Source organism: Homo sapiens, chromosome X (assembly GCF_000001405.40).
Source record: "Homo sapiens chromosome X, GRCh38.p14 Primary Assembly".
In the NCBI taxonomy this organism is placed as follows: Eukaryota; Metazoa; Chordata; class Mammalia; order Primates; family Hominidae; genus Homo; species Homo sapiens.
In genome coordinates this window covers 57,275,434-57,293,815 of record NC_000023.11, presented here as the reverse complement: position 1 = coordinate 57,293,815, position 18,382 = coordinate 57,275,434, and the positions used below count along the sequence as shown (strand labels likewise).

General features: G+C 37.6%; 1 protein-coding gene across 18 annotated transcripts in view; it reads right to left on the bottom strand.

Moving 5' to 3' along the window:
• Positions 1 to 18,382, bottom strand: part of FAAH2 (fatty acid amide hydrolase 2) — a 367,606-nt gene that overhangs the window by 195,381 nt on the left and 153,843 nt on the right. For 13 of the 18 annotated variants that reach the window (NM_001353840.1, XM_005261987.5, NM_001353841.1 and 10 more), the window contains exons 1-2: positions 6,799 to 7,139; positions 1,236 to 1,318 (exon numbers count right to left, since the gene is read on the bottom strand). In NM_001353840.1, the coding sequence (NP_001340769.1) occupies positions 1,236 to 1,318; positions 6,799 to 6,990 (275 nt within the window). In that variant the 5' untranslated portion in view covers positions 6,991 to 7,139. Of the gene's footprint in view, positions 1 to 1,235; positions 1,319 to 3,515; positions 3,566 to 6,798; positions 7,140 to 18,382 lie in introns of those variants that run through there. The other 5 variants (NR_148564.2, NR_148557.2, XM_005261985.4 and 2 more) reach the window with 4 other exon arrangements.

Sequence of the window (18,382 nt, the reverse complement as noted above, 5' to 3'; positions counted from 1 at the left end):
TAGTAGCCCAAACTCATTATTTTCAACAAGGTCAAAATTTTGATTTTCTCTCAGGTCTTTATCTATGTCCTCATACACAAAAACAAGCTCTGCAACAACTGACCCCCTTCTTCGAAACTCCTTTTTAAAAGGCAACAGAAAATTTAAATAATAGAATCTCTCTCAAATGTTTAAAGATACACTCTGCCCCAAAAGTACCCCCAAATTACATTTCAGGTAAAAGTTGGTTCACAGAAGAAAGAGACAAGTCAGGACCTCCTGAAACATAGAACCACCCCATAGTTCTGTTATGTAAGCTTGGCATCACATATCCATATTCTTGAATCATGGTTGTCACATACATTTTTTGAAATGCTGTTGAGATGATCAAATGAGAAAACATGTATAAAGTATCTATTATGATACAAATCCATTTGATGCAGTACTTATATTTCATTAAAATATTTTAAATGTCTATAATTTCATGATATTGGCTAGTTTTCATTTTATTTATATTAACCATCCATGTTAAATGATAGGTTTTCAATATGTGTAGTGATATAAAGTTTCATTTTAAAATGATTAAGTTAGAATAAGTGACTCAATTTTAATAAGTATATTAACAACAACAAAGCTGACGTGCAAACAAGACAAAAATCCTAAAGATGGTACATGAATGGCTGAGAGCTACACGATGGCACCCTATGTCATGGTGTGCTAAGAAGAACTGTACTACCCATTAAACAGAATATTACAAAGAAAATAATCCAAGTTTTTGGCCCTCTAATACCTCAGAGCTGCTGAGAAGTGTTTACTTAGCAATAGAGACACAGAAGTAACGTATATGATACCTATATAAAATACTATCTACTATGCTAAATACACATTCAAAAAAGTGTGCATGTGTAGGGGGGTTCTCCTATTAGAGTCACTGCCAAATATTAATCTATTCAGTAAATGTTCAATGATGCCTACCAAACTGTAGACCTTGTTCTGGATGTTGGATATGCAAAAACAACAAAATTTAGTCCTTGCCATCAAGGATCTTGCAGTTAATAGGAGGAGGATGCAGACAAATAATCATAAACACTCAACAAAGGACAAAATACTGAAATTAGAAGTCAGAGAAGTTCCCAGTGAGAACAAGGGAAGGACAAAGAGAAAGAAGAATCTAGGAAATATGCTAAGGTGGCATGACCACAGAAGTAGAACAAAAACCACCATAAATGACTCCTTGAGAGAGTGGAAATGCTCACCTGTACTTGACAATTCCATTGATCATTGGGTTCACGTCCTTGATTCTGTTGATATAAGCCTGAACAACATCTATACATTTCACCTGCAAAATACAATACTTTAGTCAGCAGCCATTTATTCACTAAACAATTCATTCAACAAGTATTTCCTGAAAGACTCCTATGTACATTAATCATTTTTTGAGACACTTTCAGTGAATTACACAGTGTAGTCCCCCATGAGGCAAAATATGAAGCTAAGGAGGTATAAGATGTCTACTTTGAAGGTAAGAAGTCAGGAATATACCAGTATAAGAAAGTTCCAAACAATGAGTAGGGATAAAAGGAATAAACTCTGCTGAAATTAAATATAAATTGGAGTTCAGAGATATTATGTATATATACTAAACTAGCAAATATTTTGTTCTAGTAAATAATCAATAAAAAAATAGATATTGTTTCAGTAATACACTGAAACTTAACAGTATACATCAACTCTGCAAAACCAAGAGTTGGAGAGTGGAGACATAAAAGGGCATAAAGTTAGGGTTTCCAGATAAAATACAGGAAATCAAGTTAAATTTGAATTTCAAATGAATAGAGAGTAATTTTTAATATAAGTATGTCCCAATAATTGCATGAGGATGATTATACTGAAATCTATTTGTTATTTATCTTAAATTTAAATTTAGCTAAGCATATTGTACTTTTGTTTGCTAAATTTACCAACACTAAACCAAAGGTCTTAAGTTAAGCATGTGAGCAGGAATGAGACAAGTAAAACATCCTGGGTGGGTGCTACAGGATTATAATTTAATTATTATATACAATTGTAGTTTTAATGTTAATTCTTAGACATGAGACAATAAACATTAGAAAATTGCAAAGCAAAACAGAACCCCCAAGTAATGAGGAGAGAAAAATAATTAAAAAGAAATCAGATCAAGACAGAAAAAAGAAGGAAAGGAAAAGAAAAAGCAAGTATGATAAATTATAAACATTACATCAAGTGAAAAGGATTAAACCAATTACATAATAAGTGTGAAGGACTGAATTCCCCTGCCAGAGGGCAAAAGCATTAAATTTGGTTTTAAAAAAAGCTCAGCTATACAATGTTTATATGAAATTCATCTGGAACAAAAAGACAATGAAAGATTGAAAACAAAGAGTTAGGCAAACATATACTAGGTGAAAACAAACAATAAGAAAGGAGAGGTGGTATCATTAATATTAGAGAAAGCAAATTTTAAAACTGAAACCTAAAATGGTATGATACATGAGGATGCTGTAACAGTCATATACTTTTCTGTTTTAATAAAGCTGGCAAATACATGAAGCATATACTACAAATACAAAGAGAAGTTGACCAGATGTATAAGTACAGTAGTAAACAATATAGCTCCCTCAGAGACTCACAGACCAAGGAGTAAAAAGTGAGGATATATCCAAGAATTTAATAATACAACCAACATGCTCAAATGCATAGTGAGGGAGAATTTTTACTCCATCAAGAATATGTTCTTTATTCATCAATCATTAACAAAAAATAATCATGTCACACAAAGCAAATCTTAAATCCCAAATGGTTTTAGAGAATTTCTAAGTCAATTTGACAAATTATCATATCCAGAAATATTAGAAACCCAAAATTAAACAGTGATATTTAGAAGGCTTAATTATTTCAAAAACATTCTTCCATATAACCAATGGATCTAAGAGGTAAACAAAACTAAAATGGCAAATTATCAGGAAATTCACAAAAAGAGGATCATTTCTTATCAAATATATTGATTGTGGCTAAAATTGTCCTAATATGCTTTTATTTATAAAAAGTAAGACAATATATAAGGTATTCAACTTAAAATAATAGAAAAATAAAGCAATTTTTTTAAAGAATAACAAGATCAAGATAAAATTTAATAACAGAAATAAAATAGGAACAGTAACAACAAAACCAGTATAAAAAGATGAACTAACTTTTAAATATCTATCAAATGGATAAACTGCAACAAGCATGATGGAGAAAGAGTGTGTGCAGAAAAATGGTTAGTATTAAGAATGAAAAAATAAGGTACAACCATAGATACAGGGGAGATTTATGAAATTATAAAAGAAAGTTACATGTACTTTTTCTTTTGGGTTAACTCTACTTGTCCTTTAGAATTATGCGTCTAGTAGGTTTTCAGTAAATGTTTGTTAAATGCATGCACAGACAGAGATTTCAGCCACCATAACTCAATAGTCTAGTGTATACAGAGCTCTAGCATTAAGAGCCTGGATTGTCAAGCTGATGTCTAGTACCTGGTCACTCCATCAACGTATACAACCCCAAAGATCTTCAACTGCCACTGCTACCGTAATTGAGTTTGTAGCATGCAGCACGTGAGAAAAAAAAAAAAAAAAGCAGGGGTTAGAGGTAGAAGTTAACATGACCATAATTGCCATTTGCTAAATACTTATTATATGCCAAGAACTTTATATATATTATGTCATTAAATATTCCTAGCAACACATGTAATGTTATCCCCATTTTACAGATGAAGTCATTGAGGCTCACTGAGGTTAAGTGACTTAACCAAAGTCACATAGCTGAGCCTGGATATTTGTGTTTGCTTATTCCAAATGAACCTTGCTGTCGTAAGAGAAATGAAGACTAGGTACATCGTTAGAAAATCCATTCACTACAGAAAAGTACAAATGAAAAGTGAAAGCTTCTCACTCTCTCTCTCTTTCCCTCCCTCTCTCCCTTATTCCCTTCTCCCCTCTCTTCAGCTCTCTCTCCCTTCTTCACACAAAAGGAATCATATTATATTCATTGTTCAGTACCTTATATTTTTACCACGTAACATAATTCAGAACTATTTACGTATCTGTTCCTTTAGATCAACTTCATACTTATTTTTTATTACTTATCTAAAAACTGAAAATACTTTTTTCTAATTTTCTAAAGTATTGATTATATTTATTATAAATAGGTAACATGAGCACACGTTTCAAAAATCTGAAAGTAAAAAAGATCATGCAATGAAGCCTCTTTCCACCCTTGTCTCCTAACAAAGGAGATGAATAAAGGGTGGGACTTACGGTTTCAAAACCTCATTGACTTTCGGATCATCAACAAAATCAAATATCCAAATGACCAGGCTATGTATGATGGTGGCCATAAGTTGATGTATTTTTGGCAAGGCCCAACCTTGGATACCAACTGAGGCTGTGGAGGTTCAGAAGACATAGTGGTAGCCTGAATTCTGAATAATAGAAGAGTAATCATAGGGACACAAAAGCAAGCAAAAGACAGTAGACACTGACTCACAGGAAACTGACTGTTCAATCAGAGCTCGTTATCAAGAAGCATACTCTTCCATAAAGTGCCAACAAAAATTGAGTAAGATTTACCTGGCTCTACCACTTTCTAGCTGTGTGGCATTGGACAAGCTATTAGAAAGCTCTAAACTTTATTTTCCTTCTCTGTAAGATGATGATAATCATATGTACCTCAAAATGTCATTATGAAGATTCAATTTACAAAAATCTAAGTAAAATGTTTGCCTTATCAAGTGGCACATGGTAGGTGTTTAAGAAATTTAGTTGTTTTGCAGTAACAATATTTCCATGTTTAAAAATGTCAGAAACTAAGGGATAAATAAAACTTTGTATCCACTCCACTTCTCCCCTTCAGAACATTTTTATAAATCTAGATAAACTATATCTAGATCATCTCATCTCATGGGCAAGCATGAATAAAAAATGGCTAGTTACCAAAAACTTGATGATAGTAATAATAGTAATAGTTAACATTTATATAGGATTAGTATGCCAGACAATATTCTATAAGTTTTACATATATGAATTCATTTAATTCATCACAATAACTCTAAAAGGTAGATTCTATTATCAAATCCATTTTTCTTAAAGGACATCAGAGACACAAAAAGTTAAGAAATGCTTTTAAGGCCGGGCGCAGTGGCTCACACCTGTAATTCCAGCACTTTGGGAGGCCGAGGTGGGTGGATCACGAGGTCCGGAGATCAAGACCATCCTGGCTAACTCGATGAAAACCCGTCTCTACTAAAAAATACGAAATATTAGCCGGGCATGGTGGCGGGCGCCTGTAGTCCCAGCTACTCGGGAGGCTGAGGCAGGAGAATGGCGTCAACCCGGGAGGCGGAGCTTGCAGTGAGCGAAGATCGCACCACTGCACTCCAGCCCAGGCGACAGAGCGAGACTCCGTCTCAAAAAAAAAAAAAAAAAAAAAAAAAAAAAGAAATGTTTTTAAGATCACAGAGCTAGATCGTAGAAAAGCTAGGATTTCTGAACCCAGGGAGTCTGACTCTAGAGTCCATCCTTCTAATCATTATGTTACACAATCTTCTATGTGCCAGGTTCTTGATATGTATTATCTGCTATTGGTGTGGCACAAGGTCACAGAGCCATGAACAGACAGTCCAAAATTTGAAATATATCATCTTTCTACTATTAGGTTGGTGCAAAAGTAATTGTGATTTTTGCCATTAAAAGTAATGTCAAAATCTCAATTACAAAATCACAATTACTTTTGCACCAACCGAATACATCCCATTGCCTCCCTAACTGGTAGAAAAGCATGCATGAGTGGGTAGAGGCTGGGGAGGGGGTACGGCAAGAAGACAGGATATGTCTTTGAAAGGTAACCAGGAGTACAATACAAATATTAATAATTCATACATTCAGGAGCACATACTGAGATAGTATTTGCTGCATGCCTATTCTTTGTTAAGTAGTATTGTAGATTCTGGAAATAAAGCAATGACGAAAAACAAATGAAACAGCAGAGAGGTGAAAACAAGCAGAGTATAAATAAACAATACTAGACTGTAGCTCAAGATCTCCAGGTAACCAATCACTTATATGACAGAGATGAATAGTCCTGCCTGCACAATTCTATAGAGAACGAATGAGCTGCTTAATTTTTTTAATTTAGAACTTTCAACAATTTTTGTGCAAATCATTTTACTTCAGTTTCCTTATGCATAAAATATGAATATTGCCTATATAACTGCATCCGTGAAATAGAATATGTTTAAGTACCCAGGCAGAGTATTTCACATATACTATGCAATAAATATATGGTAGACGCAGCTTTTACTATCCTAGACCAAGTACTACTTTTACTTTAAATCAATTTTAAAAAGAATTGGTTGAATGGTAAGCAGCAGGTTGATCTGGGGCCTGTGAGAGACGGAAGAATAGAGAGAGAGAAAGGGAGAGGGAGAGAGAAAGAGAGAGACTGACTTTCCATAGCTGAGAATCAGTTTGAAATTCACACCTGCTTTACCCCACACACAGTAATTATGCACAAATAGGACAAATGGATAGGAAGGACTATGACGGTACCAAAATAGTCCAACCCATGCCCACAGTAAATGTCCTTGGTAAAAATAAACGTACTACAACACCCAGAAGTCTCCCTTCATCCCCAATAAATGCCTCTCCTAAGTCGCCCTAGTAGAGAATGGAAAGGAAACCACAACCACCGCCACCACTAAGCTTCCTGGATCCTGCTAAAAGACCTGTCCCTCCAGCCTCTTCTGAATTGCATTCTCACCTTTCTCTGTCGGATCAGCTTGGCCAGCTGCATCCCCGAAAGCAGAAGCAATGGTTCAGTCACCGGCCGAGGGGTCTTTGAGGCAAACTTTGGACCCCCTAAGACTAAAGCTGCTCGGCCTACTAAGCCTATGAGAAAGCCTAGCGCCCGCAAGAGGAACAACTGAATGCGGGCGGTAAATGAAGGTGCCATCGCAGCCTGGATTCCGCACGGTCCTAGTGCTTGAGGGTTACGTGCACCCTGGGGAAAGGACGAGAAAAGTACTAAGCAAAGAGGGACTTATGAAGCTTTTCGTTTACAAGTCCAGTGTCTACCCACAATTCCACAGGAGCTTGTTTATCATCACCTGCAGGGCTCCTAGCCAGAGATGGGGGCGGAGACTTCCCAGCAGCTGCCTGTGTGCAATGCTACCTGTCGTTAGTGCTGTTGTAACCCAAGACAGAAAATGCGTCATAAGAAAGAACACTGGCCTTGGAATTCCCCAGTTCTGCTACTGTGTAGCCCTGGCCAACCTACACTATATCTCCTAGTCAGTTTACTCATAAGAAAAAAAATGGGAATAACTACTCCTATATCAAAGGGTTACCATAAACACTAGATAATAAGTAAAAACATTTAGCACAATTTATGGTAAATAGTATAAGTGGTAGTTGTTATAGTTTATTTCAGCTGTGCTTGTGAAAAAAGTGTTGTAAGTATACCTTTGTATGCAAATATTCAGTATGCTCAACAAACAACTAAATGGCAAGTATATATATATTTTCCATATGCATATTATTTAATCCTTATAAGATCACTAACAGGTAGTACTGATGAACATCAAATCTCCAGCCCATCTGTCTCCTAAACTGGACACTTGAAATGCCTTTTTTGACATATCCATGTGAATGTCTTCCAGATCGTTCAAACTCAACAAGTCCAAAACTCATCCTTTTGTCCCCCAGACTGCTGCCCCTACAGGTCTACAAATGGAATTTTCATCCACCCAGTCAGCCATGCCAAAAATCTAGAATCACTTCAGATTCTTCCATTTCTCTTATTCTCATGACAGAATCCAGCCCTTCCTTCTCAACTCAGTCTGGCTCAGATCTCACTGAGGTTTACATGAACTTCTACAAATAATCTAGCTGATCACTCTGCCTTTATTTATAGAGTGTTCTTTCTAATATGTAAATCTGACAATATTACACCCCTGCCAATAACTCCGCAATAATTCTCCATTTTCCACAGATTCAAGACCCATCTACTTTGTCCAGCATTCGACTCTCATGACTGGTGTCTGAAAAACTCTATGCTTCATCCCTAACCCCTTCTATCCCTCACATGCTAAGCTCCTGACAAACAACTATCCGAAAGTTCTCTCTTCCCTCCTTATCTTTGCATCTGCTTTCCCAACCTCTTCATCTAGTTCAGGACAAGTACCACCTCCTCCAGTAAGTCTTCCCTGAACTTACAACTGGGTGTGATGCCACTCTTTTGTAACCCTGCACTCCACAGATTAACAAAATCATAGCACTTACAACCCTCTGTTATGTGTTAGGTTTTTGTGTCTATGCCCCATCTAGATATAAACTCCTCGAAGAACAGGGTCATTCTAATTCCTCTTTGTATTGCCAGAGCCTGACATAGGGCTTGATGAGAAGTCAATACAGGTTTGTAGGCTGAAGGTATGTGATTATGAGATAATGAGCGTTGAAGATAGGGATTCGAGCTTGGCATTTAAGGTCTTGGGTAGGTGAAATGACAACGTCATCCAGGTCACTGTCTTTTCACCTGCAGAACTTAGGTTGATACTGAAAGTGTCATCACAGCACTTCTAGCCTAATTCAAGCACCTGGTAGAAAGCAGGTTAATCATGACAGGCACATCTAGCAGATCCAGTAAAGAAAGCTGATAAAGCAGGTTGTCATAATCTAGGCTCCATTACAGTTCTGAGCAAAACCTGTTAGCTGAGTGAAACTTCCTTACCAGAGAAAGGTTTTGTCAAAATGAAAATATTTACTTTGCCCAACTTTTGTTACTTTATTTAAGTTGTAAATGACAAATATGTGAGCCTGAGGTACAAAGAATGCTCACTGATTGGGCTCTGACCAGACAGACCTGAATCCAAATCCTAGATCCAGCACTCATTATGTTTTTGACCTTGAACAAATCACTTAATGTCCCTAGGTGTGTTTTCTCATCTGTAAAGTAGAATAACAGCTGCCATATGGTGTTATGAAGATTAAATCACATATGGATGTAAAGCTTCTGTTTTTTTTTTACAATCTTAAATATTTTAATTTTATATTAATAGTTAGACCATGTTAAGTATATTGCCATTGTTGGCAACATATCACCAGAACATTTTTATCTTGCAAAATGAATACATACTATACATGAATCGACTACCTGTTTTCCCCATTGACTGGCCCTTTACAAATGCCATTCTATTTTCTCTTTTTAAAAGTGCAACTACTTTAGCTAACTCGTATAAGTGGATTCATACTTTTTATGATGGACTTATTACACTTATCATAAGACCATTAAGATTTATCTTTAAAATAAATGTTAAATTTCCTGCTTTTTAAAAGCTGAATAATATTCCAGGTTTTGTTGTTGTTGTTGTTGTTGTTGTTGTTTTGTTTTGTTATGATATGGTGTCTCATTCTGTCGCCCAGGCTGGAGCGCCACTGGAGTGCAGTGGCACCATCTTGGCTCATTGCAACCTTTGCCTCCCGGGTTCAAGTGATTCTCCTGCCTCAGCCTTCCAAGTAGCTGGTATTATAAGCACCCACCACCATGCCCAGATTGCAGGCTTTCTTCCCGGGCACGCCGCAGGATAAGGCCCATTAGCTTGGGACACTAACAAGGCTACCCCAGCCCTGCCTGAGTTCTCAGGCTGGAAGCAGCTCCACACTTCCCTGGGACAGAGCTCCCAGAGGGAGCAGGCAAGCTGACGTTTTTCCACGCTCATGTTCTCATCAGGCTCTGGAGGTAGTATAGAAGTTGGGGACTGACGCGAACCCACAGCACAGCGCAGTCACCTTAAAGGAAAAGCGGCCAGACTGTTTTCACGTGTGTCCCCACCTCCGCTGCTCTTCACTGAGCAGTGCCTCTTGACCTGGGCCCCAAGCACAATCACTCTGCTTCCACATAAACACTTTACTCGGTAGCAGCTCTGCGTTTCTGAGGAGGAAATCCCAGAGACAACCCACAGCTTCTCTGCCATTGCAGCTGCAGTGGTACTGTTCTGCTGCATTCAGGCCAGGGAATAAAACAAAAGGTCGAGTTGCTACACTGGAGCCTCCAGCACGCTGCAGCCACCATACAGAGAGGAGCCCAGTCTCTCTTCCATGTAGGCTCCCACCCCACACTCTTCACCAAGCAGGGCCCCAAGCCTGGATCTACACAGACGTCCCACCCTTGGCAGAGCATTCCCTCTGCTAGTGGCTTTGTATTTCCCTGGGGGAGGGGCTCCCAGAGGCAACTGACAGCCCCTCTGCCACTGCCATTGCAGTGGTTCTTCCCCTGCTGCCCTCAGGCTGGAGAAGAAATGAAGATCCTGAGGGCTTTACTCACATTTCTAGCAAGACACAGTCACCATACAAAGAAGAGCCCACTCTCTCCTCCCTGTTATCCCTCGAACCCCGACTCTTCCCCAAGCGGGGTCCCCACCTCAGGCCAACAGCACAGTTGCCTCACCCCCTGGCTGAACATCCCCAGTAGCAGTGACTCTGTGTTTTTTTCTGAGATGGAGGTCCCAGAGACAACCAAAAGCCTTTCTGCCCCTGCCACTGCAATGGTAGTGCCCTTGCTGCCCTCAGACTGGGAAAGAAGCAAAGACGCACAGTGCTTTAACCACACCTCCAGAAAGCCACAGCCACCATAAGGAGAAGAGGCTGGTCTGTTCCCTCCGCAATCCCCTTCCCATCCCCAGGCAGGTTCCCATGGCTTGGGCCAAAAACGCAGCTGCCCCACCCTTGACTGATTGCACCAGTTGATATCCGCTCTGAATTTCTCTAGGGTAGAGCACCAAAAGACACGGGAAAGACCCTCTGCCATAGCCACTGCCAAGGTCTTGTCCCCTGCTGCCTCAAAAGTGGGGAAGGAAAATAAAGATGAGCTCACCACAAGGTTGTGCTGTACAGCTCGCAAGTGCCAAACAGAGGTCTACAGACAGCACTTCTGTGGGAGAGGAGCCTACACTTTCAGAACAGTAACAGAAAATTTGATGGCAATCATGAGGAAATACAGGCGAGCCACATGGCTAAGCAAGAGCGTACCTATTAACCATTACATTTAAGCACCATCTAGTGGATTACAACCAAATTTCAACACCGAAAATACTGTTAATATATCCCCCAGTGAAACCAAGGACAAGAACTAAGCTACAAATAAAGATCCTGCAAAAATGCTTAGACTGCTGAAAACATTCAGAAAAGAAGTCAACTGATTATACTCATATTACACTACAGTTGAAGGAACATCAACCCACACAGAAAGAATGAAACCATCAACGGAGTAAACAGACAACCTACAGAATGGGGGAAATATTCACAAACATCAAACAAAGATCTAATATCCACAATCTCTAAGAAACTTAACAAGCAATAAACAAATAACCCCATTAAAAAGTGAGCAAGAAACATAAACAGACACTTCTGAAAAGAAGACATACAAGTGGCCAAAAAACATTAAAAAAATGCTCATCATCACTAATCGTCAGAGAAATGTAAATCAAAACCACGAAGAGATACCATCTCACATAGTCAGAATGGCTATTATTAAAATGTCAAAAAACTAACACATGCTGGTGAGGTTGTACAGAAAAGGGAAAGCTTATACACTGCTATAGGCGATATAAGTTAGTTCAACCATTGTGGAAGGCATTTTGTTTATTTCTCAAAGAACTGAAAGAAGAATTACCATTTGACCAAGCAATCTCATTACTGGGTATACACACAAAGGAATATAAATTGTTCGACCACAAAAATACATGCATCTGTATGTTCTTTGCAGCCCTATTCACAATAACAAAGACATGTAATCAACCGAAATGCCCATCAACATTAGACTGGATAACAAAAATGTGGTACATATACACCATGGAATACTACACAGCCATAAACAGGAATGAGATAATGCCCTTTGGAGAAACATGGATGGAGCTGGAGGCCCTTATCCTAAGAAAACTATCACAGGAACAGAAAACCAAATACTGCATGTTCTCACTTATGAGTGGAAGCTAAACAATGAGGACATATGGCCACAAAGAAGGGAAAAACAGACACCACAGCCTACTTGAAGGTGGAGGGAGAGAGGAGGCTGAGGACCAAAAAATTACCTGACTGGTACTATGCAAATTACCTGGATGGCAAAATAATCTGCACACCAAACCTCCATGACATGCAATTTACCAATATATCAAACCTATACATGTACCACTAAACCTAAAATAAACATTTAAAAAACACATAAAAATACATATACTCATAATGAAAACATGAACTTATATCTGAGGATGCACACATGCACATATACAACTATGTAAATCAAATTTCTTGTTACCCATTCCCAAATACTAACTAATATAAAAACAAATGTATGTCTTAGTAACTATAAACTTGTGCTTAAAGTAGGCAAAAGTGGGTGTGTCTTAATAAGTGTAACACAATAGGTAAGTAAATAGGAAATGATAAACTTTTGACCATGTCCACCACCAAATAAGCTTATTTTGCATACATTATTTTAATTAAACTTCTTATTTTAAGATAATTGTAGATTTACAAGAAGCTGTAAGAAATAATACAGAGAGATTCCAGGTGCCCTTTACTCATTTTCCCCCAATGGTAACATCCTCCAAATAAGTACAATGTCATAATGAGAATACTGTAGTTAATATAGAACATTTTCTTCACAACACAGATCTCTCATGTTGTCCTTTTATGTCCACACCACTGCCCAATCCCCTCATTATTCCATAGCTACCCCCAATCTGTTCTCCATTTGTATGATTTCATTTCAAGATTGTCAAATAAAACAAATCGTGCAGTATTGTAACCAATTGGGGTTTGTTTCTTTCACTCTGCACAATCACTGGAGATTCAGCCAGGTTGTATGTGTATCAATAATCATTTATTTTTCATTGTTACCTAGTATTCCATTACATGGATGTGCCATGGTTTGTTTAACCTTTTCACTATTGAAGGATATCTGTAAGGTTTTTATTCATTTACATCTTTTGGTTATTATTGAATAAAGCTGCTGTAAACATTCATGTACAACTTTTTGTGTGAACAAAGGTATTAATTTCTCTAAGATAAATACCTAAGAGTGCAATTGCTGGGCCATATGGTAGATGCATTTTTAGTGTTTTTTTTTTTTTGAAGCTTCCAAATAATCTTGTAAAGTGGCTATGCCATTTTATGCCACCAGCAATATATGTCATCCAGTTTCACTGCATGCTCAGCAGCATTTCTTACAGTCACCATTTTTTTTTTAAATTTTAGCCATTCTAATAGGTGTAAAGTGATAGCTTAACATAGTTTAAATTTGCATTTCCCTAGGGCCTAAAACAGTTTCATAAGCTTATATGACATCTATATATTCATTTTGGTGAAAAATCTTTTCATGTCTTCTGTTCATTTTCTAATTGGATTTTTTTTGCTTGATATTAAGGTTTTTTAATTAAAGTCAAAAGGTGAAAAAAGTGAAAGCCCAGTCGTTTTGTTTCTTCTATTAAAGACTGTTTTTTGATATTTCAGATTCTTAGCATATCCGTGTAAATGTTATAATCAGAGTACAGAAAAAAAAAGATCTGCTTAGATTTTTATTAGGATTCCATTGAATCTATAGACCAATTTGGGGACAGCTGACATTTTTTCAAAGTGGGGTCTTCCAATCATGAATATGAGATATACATATACACATGCATACATAAGCCCTCAATTATTTAGCTATCTTTAATTTCTTCAGCAATATTTTATAGATTAACTTCCTTGCTATCTATTCGGATGCTGTCATTTTATTCTCTTGCCTGATTGACCTAGCTAGAACTCCCAATACTATGTAAAATAGGAGTGGTCAGAGAGGGAATCAATGTCTTGTGCCAGCTCTCATGGGAAATGCTTCCAGCTTTTGCCCATTCAGTATGATGTTGGCTGTGAGTTTGTCATAAGTGACTCATTATTTTGAAGTATGTTCCTTCAAAATCTTGTTTGTTGAGAACTTTTAACATGAAGGAATGTTTAATTGTACTGAAAGCCTGTTCTCCATCTATTGAGATAATAACGTGTTTTTTGTCTTTAGTTCTGTTTATGTGATGAATCATATTTATTGATTTGCATATGTTGAACCAAACTCTCATCCCAGCATTAAAGCCTACTTGATTATGATAAATAAGCTTTTCTTTTTTTGTTGTGGTTCTTTTTTATTATTATTATCCTTTAAGTTTGGGGTTACATGTGCAGAACGTGTTTTGTTACATAGGTATACACGTGCCTTGGTGGTTTGCTGCACCCATCAACCCGTCACCTACATTAGGTATTTCTCCTAATGTTATCCCTCACCTAGTCCCCCAGTCCCCAACAGGCACCAGTGTGTGATGTTCCCTTCCCTGTGTCCATGTGTTCTCATTGTTCAACTCCCACTTATGAGTGAGAACACGCAGTGTTTGGTTTTCTGCTCTTGTGATAGTTTGCTGAGAATTATGGTTTCTGGCTTCATCCATGTCCCTGCAAAGGACATGAACTCATCCTTTTTTATGGCTGCATAGTATTCCATGGTGTATATGTGCCACATTTTCTTAATCCAGTCTATCATTGATGACATTTTGGTTGGTTCCAAGTCTTTGCTATTGTGAATAGTGCCACAATAAACATACGTGTTCATGTTTCTTTATCATAGAATGATTTATAATCCTTTGGGTATATACCCAGTAATGGGATTGCTGGGACAAATGGCAATTCTAGTTCTAGATCCTTCAGGAATTGCCACATTGTCTTCCACAATGGTTGAACTAATTCACACTCCCCTAACAGTGTAAAAGCATTCCTATTTTTCCACATCTCTCCAGCATCTGTTGTTTCCCGACGTTTTAATGATCGTTATTCTATCTGGCGTGAGATGGTATCTCATTGTGGTTTTGATTTGCATTTCTCTAATGACCAGTGATGATGAGCATTTTTTCATATGCCTCTTAGCTGCATAAATGTCTACTTTTGAGAAGTATCTGTTCTTATACTTTGCCCAAATTTTAATGTGTTTTTTTGTTTTTTTCTTGTAAATTTGTTTAACTTCTTTGTACATTCAATTAGCCCTTTGTCAGGTGGATAGATTGCAAAAATTTTTCTCCCATTCTGTAGGTTGCCAGTTCATTCTGATGATAGGTTTTTTTTTGTTTTATTGTTATTATTATTATTTTACTGTGCAGAAACTCTTTAGTTTTATTAGATGCAATTTGTCAATTTTGGCTTTTGTTGCCATTGCTTTTGGTGTTTTAGTCATGAAGTCCTTGCCCATGTCTCTATCCTGAATGGTATTGCCTAGGTTTTTTCTTCTAGGGTTTTTATGGTTTTAGGTCTAGCATTTAAATCTTTAATCCATCTTGAATTAGTTCTTCTATAAGGTGTAAGGAAGGGATCCAGTTTCAGCTTTCTACATATGGCTAGACAGTTTTCCCAACACCATTTATTAAATAGGGAATCCTTTCCCCATTTCTTGTTATTGTCAGGTTTGTCAAAGATCAGATGGCCGTAGATGTGTGGTGTTATTTCTGAGGCCTCTGTTCTGTTCTGTTCCATTGGTCCATATATCTTCTTTGTTACCAGTACCATGCTGTTTTGGATGCTCTAGCCTTGTAGTATAGTTTGAAATCAGGTAGCGTGATGCCTCCAGCTTTGCTCTTTTTGCTTAGGATTGTCATGGCAATGAGGGCTCTTTTTTGGTTCCATAGGAAACTAAGTAGTTTTTTTCCAATTCTGTGAAGAAAGTCATTGGGAGCTTGATAGGGATGGCATTAAATCTATAAATCATCTTGTGCAGTATGGCCATTTTCACGATATTGATGCTTCCTATCCATGAGCACGGAATGTTCTTCCATTTGTTTTGCTCCGGTTTTACTTCCTTGAGCAGTGGTTTGTAGTTCTCCTTGAAGAGGTCCTTCACCTCCCTTGTAAGTTGGATTGCTAGGTATTTTATTCTCTTTGTAGCAATTGTGAATGGGAGTTCACTCTTGATTTGTTTCTGTGTTTGTCTGTTCTTGGTGTATAGGAATGCTTGTGATTTTTACACACTGATTTTGTATCCTGAGATTTTGCTGAAGTTGCTTATCAGCTTAAGGAGATTTTGGGCTGAGACAATGGGGTTTTCTAAATATACAATCATATCATCTGCAAGCACAGACAATTTGACTTCCTCTTTTCCTAATTGAATACCCTTTATTTCTTTCTCTTGCCTGATTGCCCTAGCCAGAACTTCCAACACTATGTTGAATAGGAGTGGTGAGAGAGGGCATCCTTGTATTGTGCTGGTTTACAAAGGGAATGCTTCCAGGTTTGCCCATTCAGTATGATATTGGCTGTGGGTTTGTCATAAATAGATCCTATTATTTTGAGATACATTCCATCAATACCTAGTTTATTGAGAGTTTTAGCATGAAGGCTGTTGAATTTTGTTGAAGGCCATTTCTGCAACTATTGAGATAATCATGTGGTTTTTCTCATTGGTCGTGTTTATGTGATGGATCACATTTATTGATTTGCATATGTTGAACCAGCCTTGCGTCCCAGGGATGAAGCCAACTTGATCGTGGTGGATAAGCTTTTTGATGTGCTGCTGGAATCGGTTTGCCAGTATTTTACTGAGGATATTCCCAATGATGTTCATCAGGAATATTGGTCTAAAATTCTCTTTTTTTGTTGTGTCTCTGCCAGGTTTTGGTATCAGGCTGATGCTGGCCATATAAAATGAGACAGGGAGGATTTTCTCTTTTTCTATTGATTGGAATAGTTTCAGAAGGAATGGTACCAGCTCCTCTTTGTACCTCTGGTAGAATTCGGCTGTGAATACGTCCGATCCTGGACTTTTTTTGGTTGGTAAACTATTAATTATTGCCTCAGTTTCAGAGCCTGTTATTAGTCTATTCAGAGATTGAACTTTTTCCTGGTTTTGTCTTGGGAGGGTATATGTGTTCAGGAATTCATCCATTTCTTCTAGATTTTCTACTTTATTTGTGTACCGGTGCTTATAGTATTCTCTAAAGGTAGTTTGTATTTCTGTGGGATTGGTGGTGATATCCCCTTTATTATTTTTTATTGTGTCTATTTGATTCTTCTCTTTTTTCTTCTATATTAGTCTTGCTAGCAGTCTGTCAATTTTGTTGATCTTTTCATAAACCCAGCTCCTGGATTCATTGATTTTTTTGAAGGGTTTTTTGTGTCTCTATTTCCTTCAGTTCTGCTCTGATCTTAGTTATTTCTTCCCTTCGGGTAGCTTTTGAATTTGTTTGCTCTTGCTTCTCTAGTTATTTCAACTGTGGTGTTAGGGTGCTGATTTTAGATTTTTTCTGCTTTCTCTTGTGGGCATTTAGTGCTATAAATTTCCCTCTACACGCTGCTTTAAATGTGTCACAAAGATTCTGGTATGTTGAGTCTTTGTTCTTGTTGGTTTCAGAGAACATCTTTATTTCTGCCTTCATTTCATTATTTACTCAGTAGTCATTCAGGAGCAGGTTGTTCAGTTTCCATGTAGTTGTGTGGTTTTGAGTGAGTTTCTTAATCCCGAATTCTAACTTGATGGCACTGTGGTCTGAGAGACAGATTGTTATGATTTCTGTTATTTTACATTTGCTAAGGAGTGCTTTACTTCCAATTATGTGGTCATTTTTAGAATAAGTGTGATGTGGTGCTGAGTAGAATGTATATTCTGTTGATTTGGGGTGGAGAGTTCTGTAGATGTCTATTAGGTCCACTGGGTGCAGAGGTGAGTTCAATTCCTGGATGTTCTTGTTAACCTTCTGTCTCATTGATCTGTCTGATATGGACAGTGGGGTGTTAAAGTCTCCCATTATTATTGTGTGGGAGTCTAAGTCTCTTTGTAGGTATCTAAGGACTTGCTTTATGAATCTGGGTGCTCCTGTATTGGGTGCATAGATATTTAGGATAGTTAGATCTTCTTGTTGATTTGATCCCTTTACCATTATGTAATGGCCTTCTTTGTCTCTTTTGATCTTTGTTGGTTTAAAGTCTGTTTTATCAGAGACTAGCATTGCAACCGCTTCTTTTTTTGGCTTTCCTTTTACTTGGTAGATCTTCCTCCATCCCTTTATTTTGAGCCTATCTGTGTCCCTGCACGTGAGATGGTTCTCCTGAATACAGCACACTAGCAGGTCTCGACTCTATCCAATTTGCCAGTCTTTGTCTTTTAATTGGGGCTTTAAGCCCATTTACATTTAAGGTCAATATTGTTATGTGTGAATTTGATCCTCTCGTTATGATGTCAGCTGGTTATTTTAACTGTTAATTGATTCAGTTTCTTCCTAGCATCGATGGTCTTTACAATTTGGCGTGTTTTTGCAGTGGCTGGTACTGGTTGTCTTTTTCCA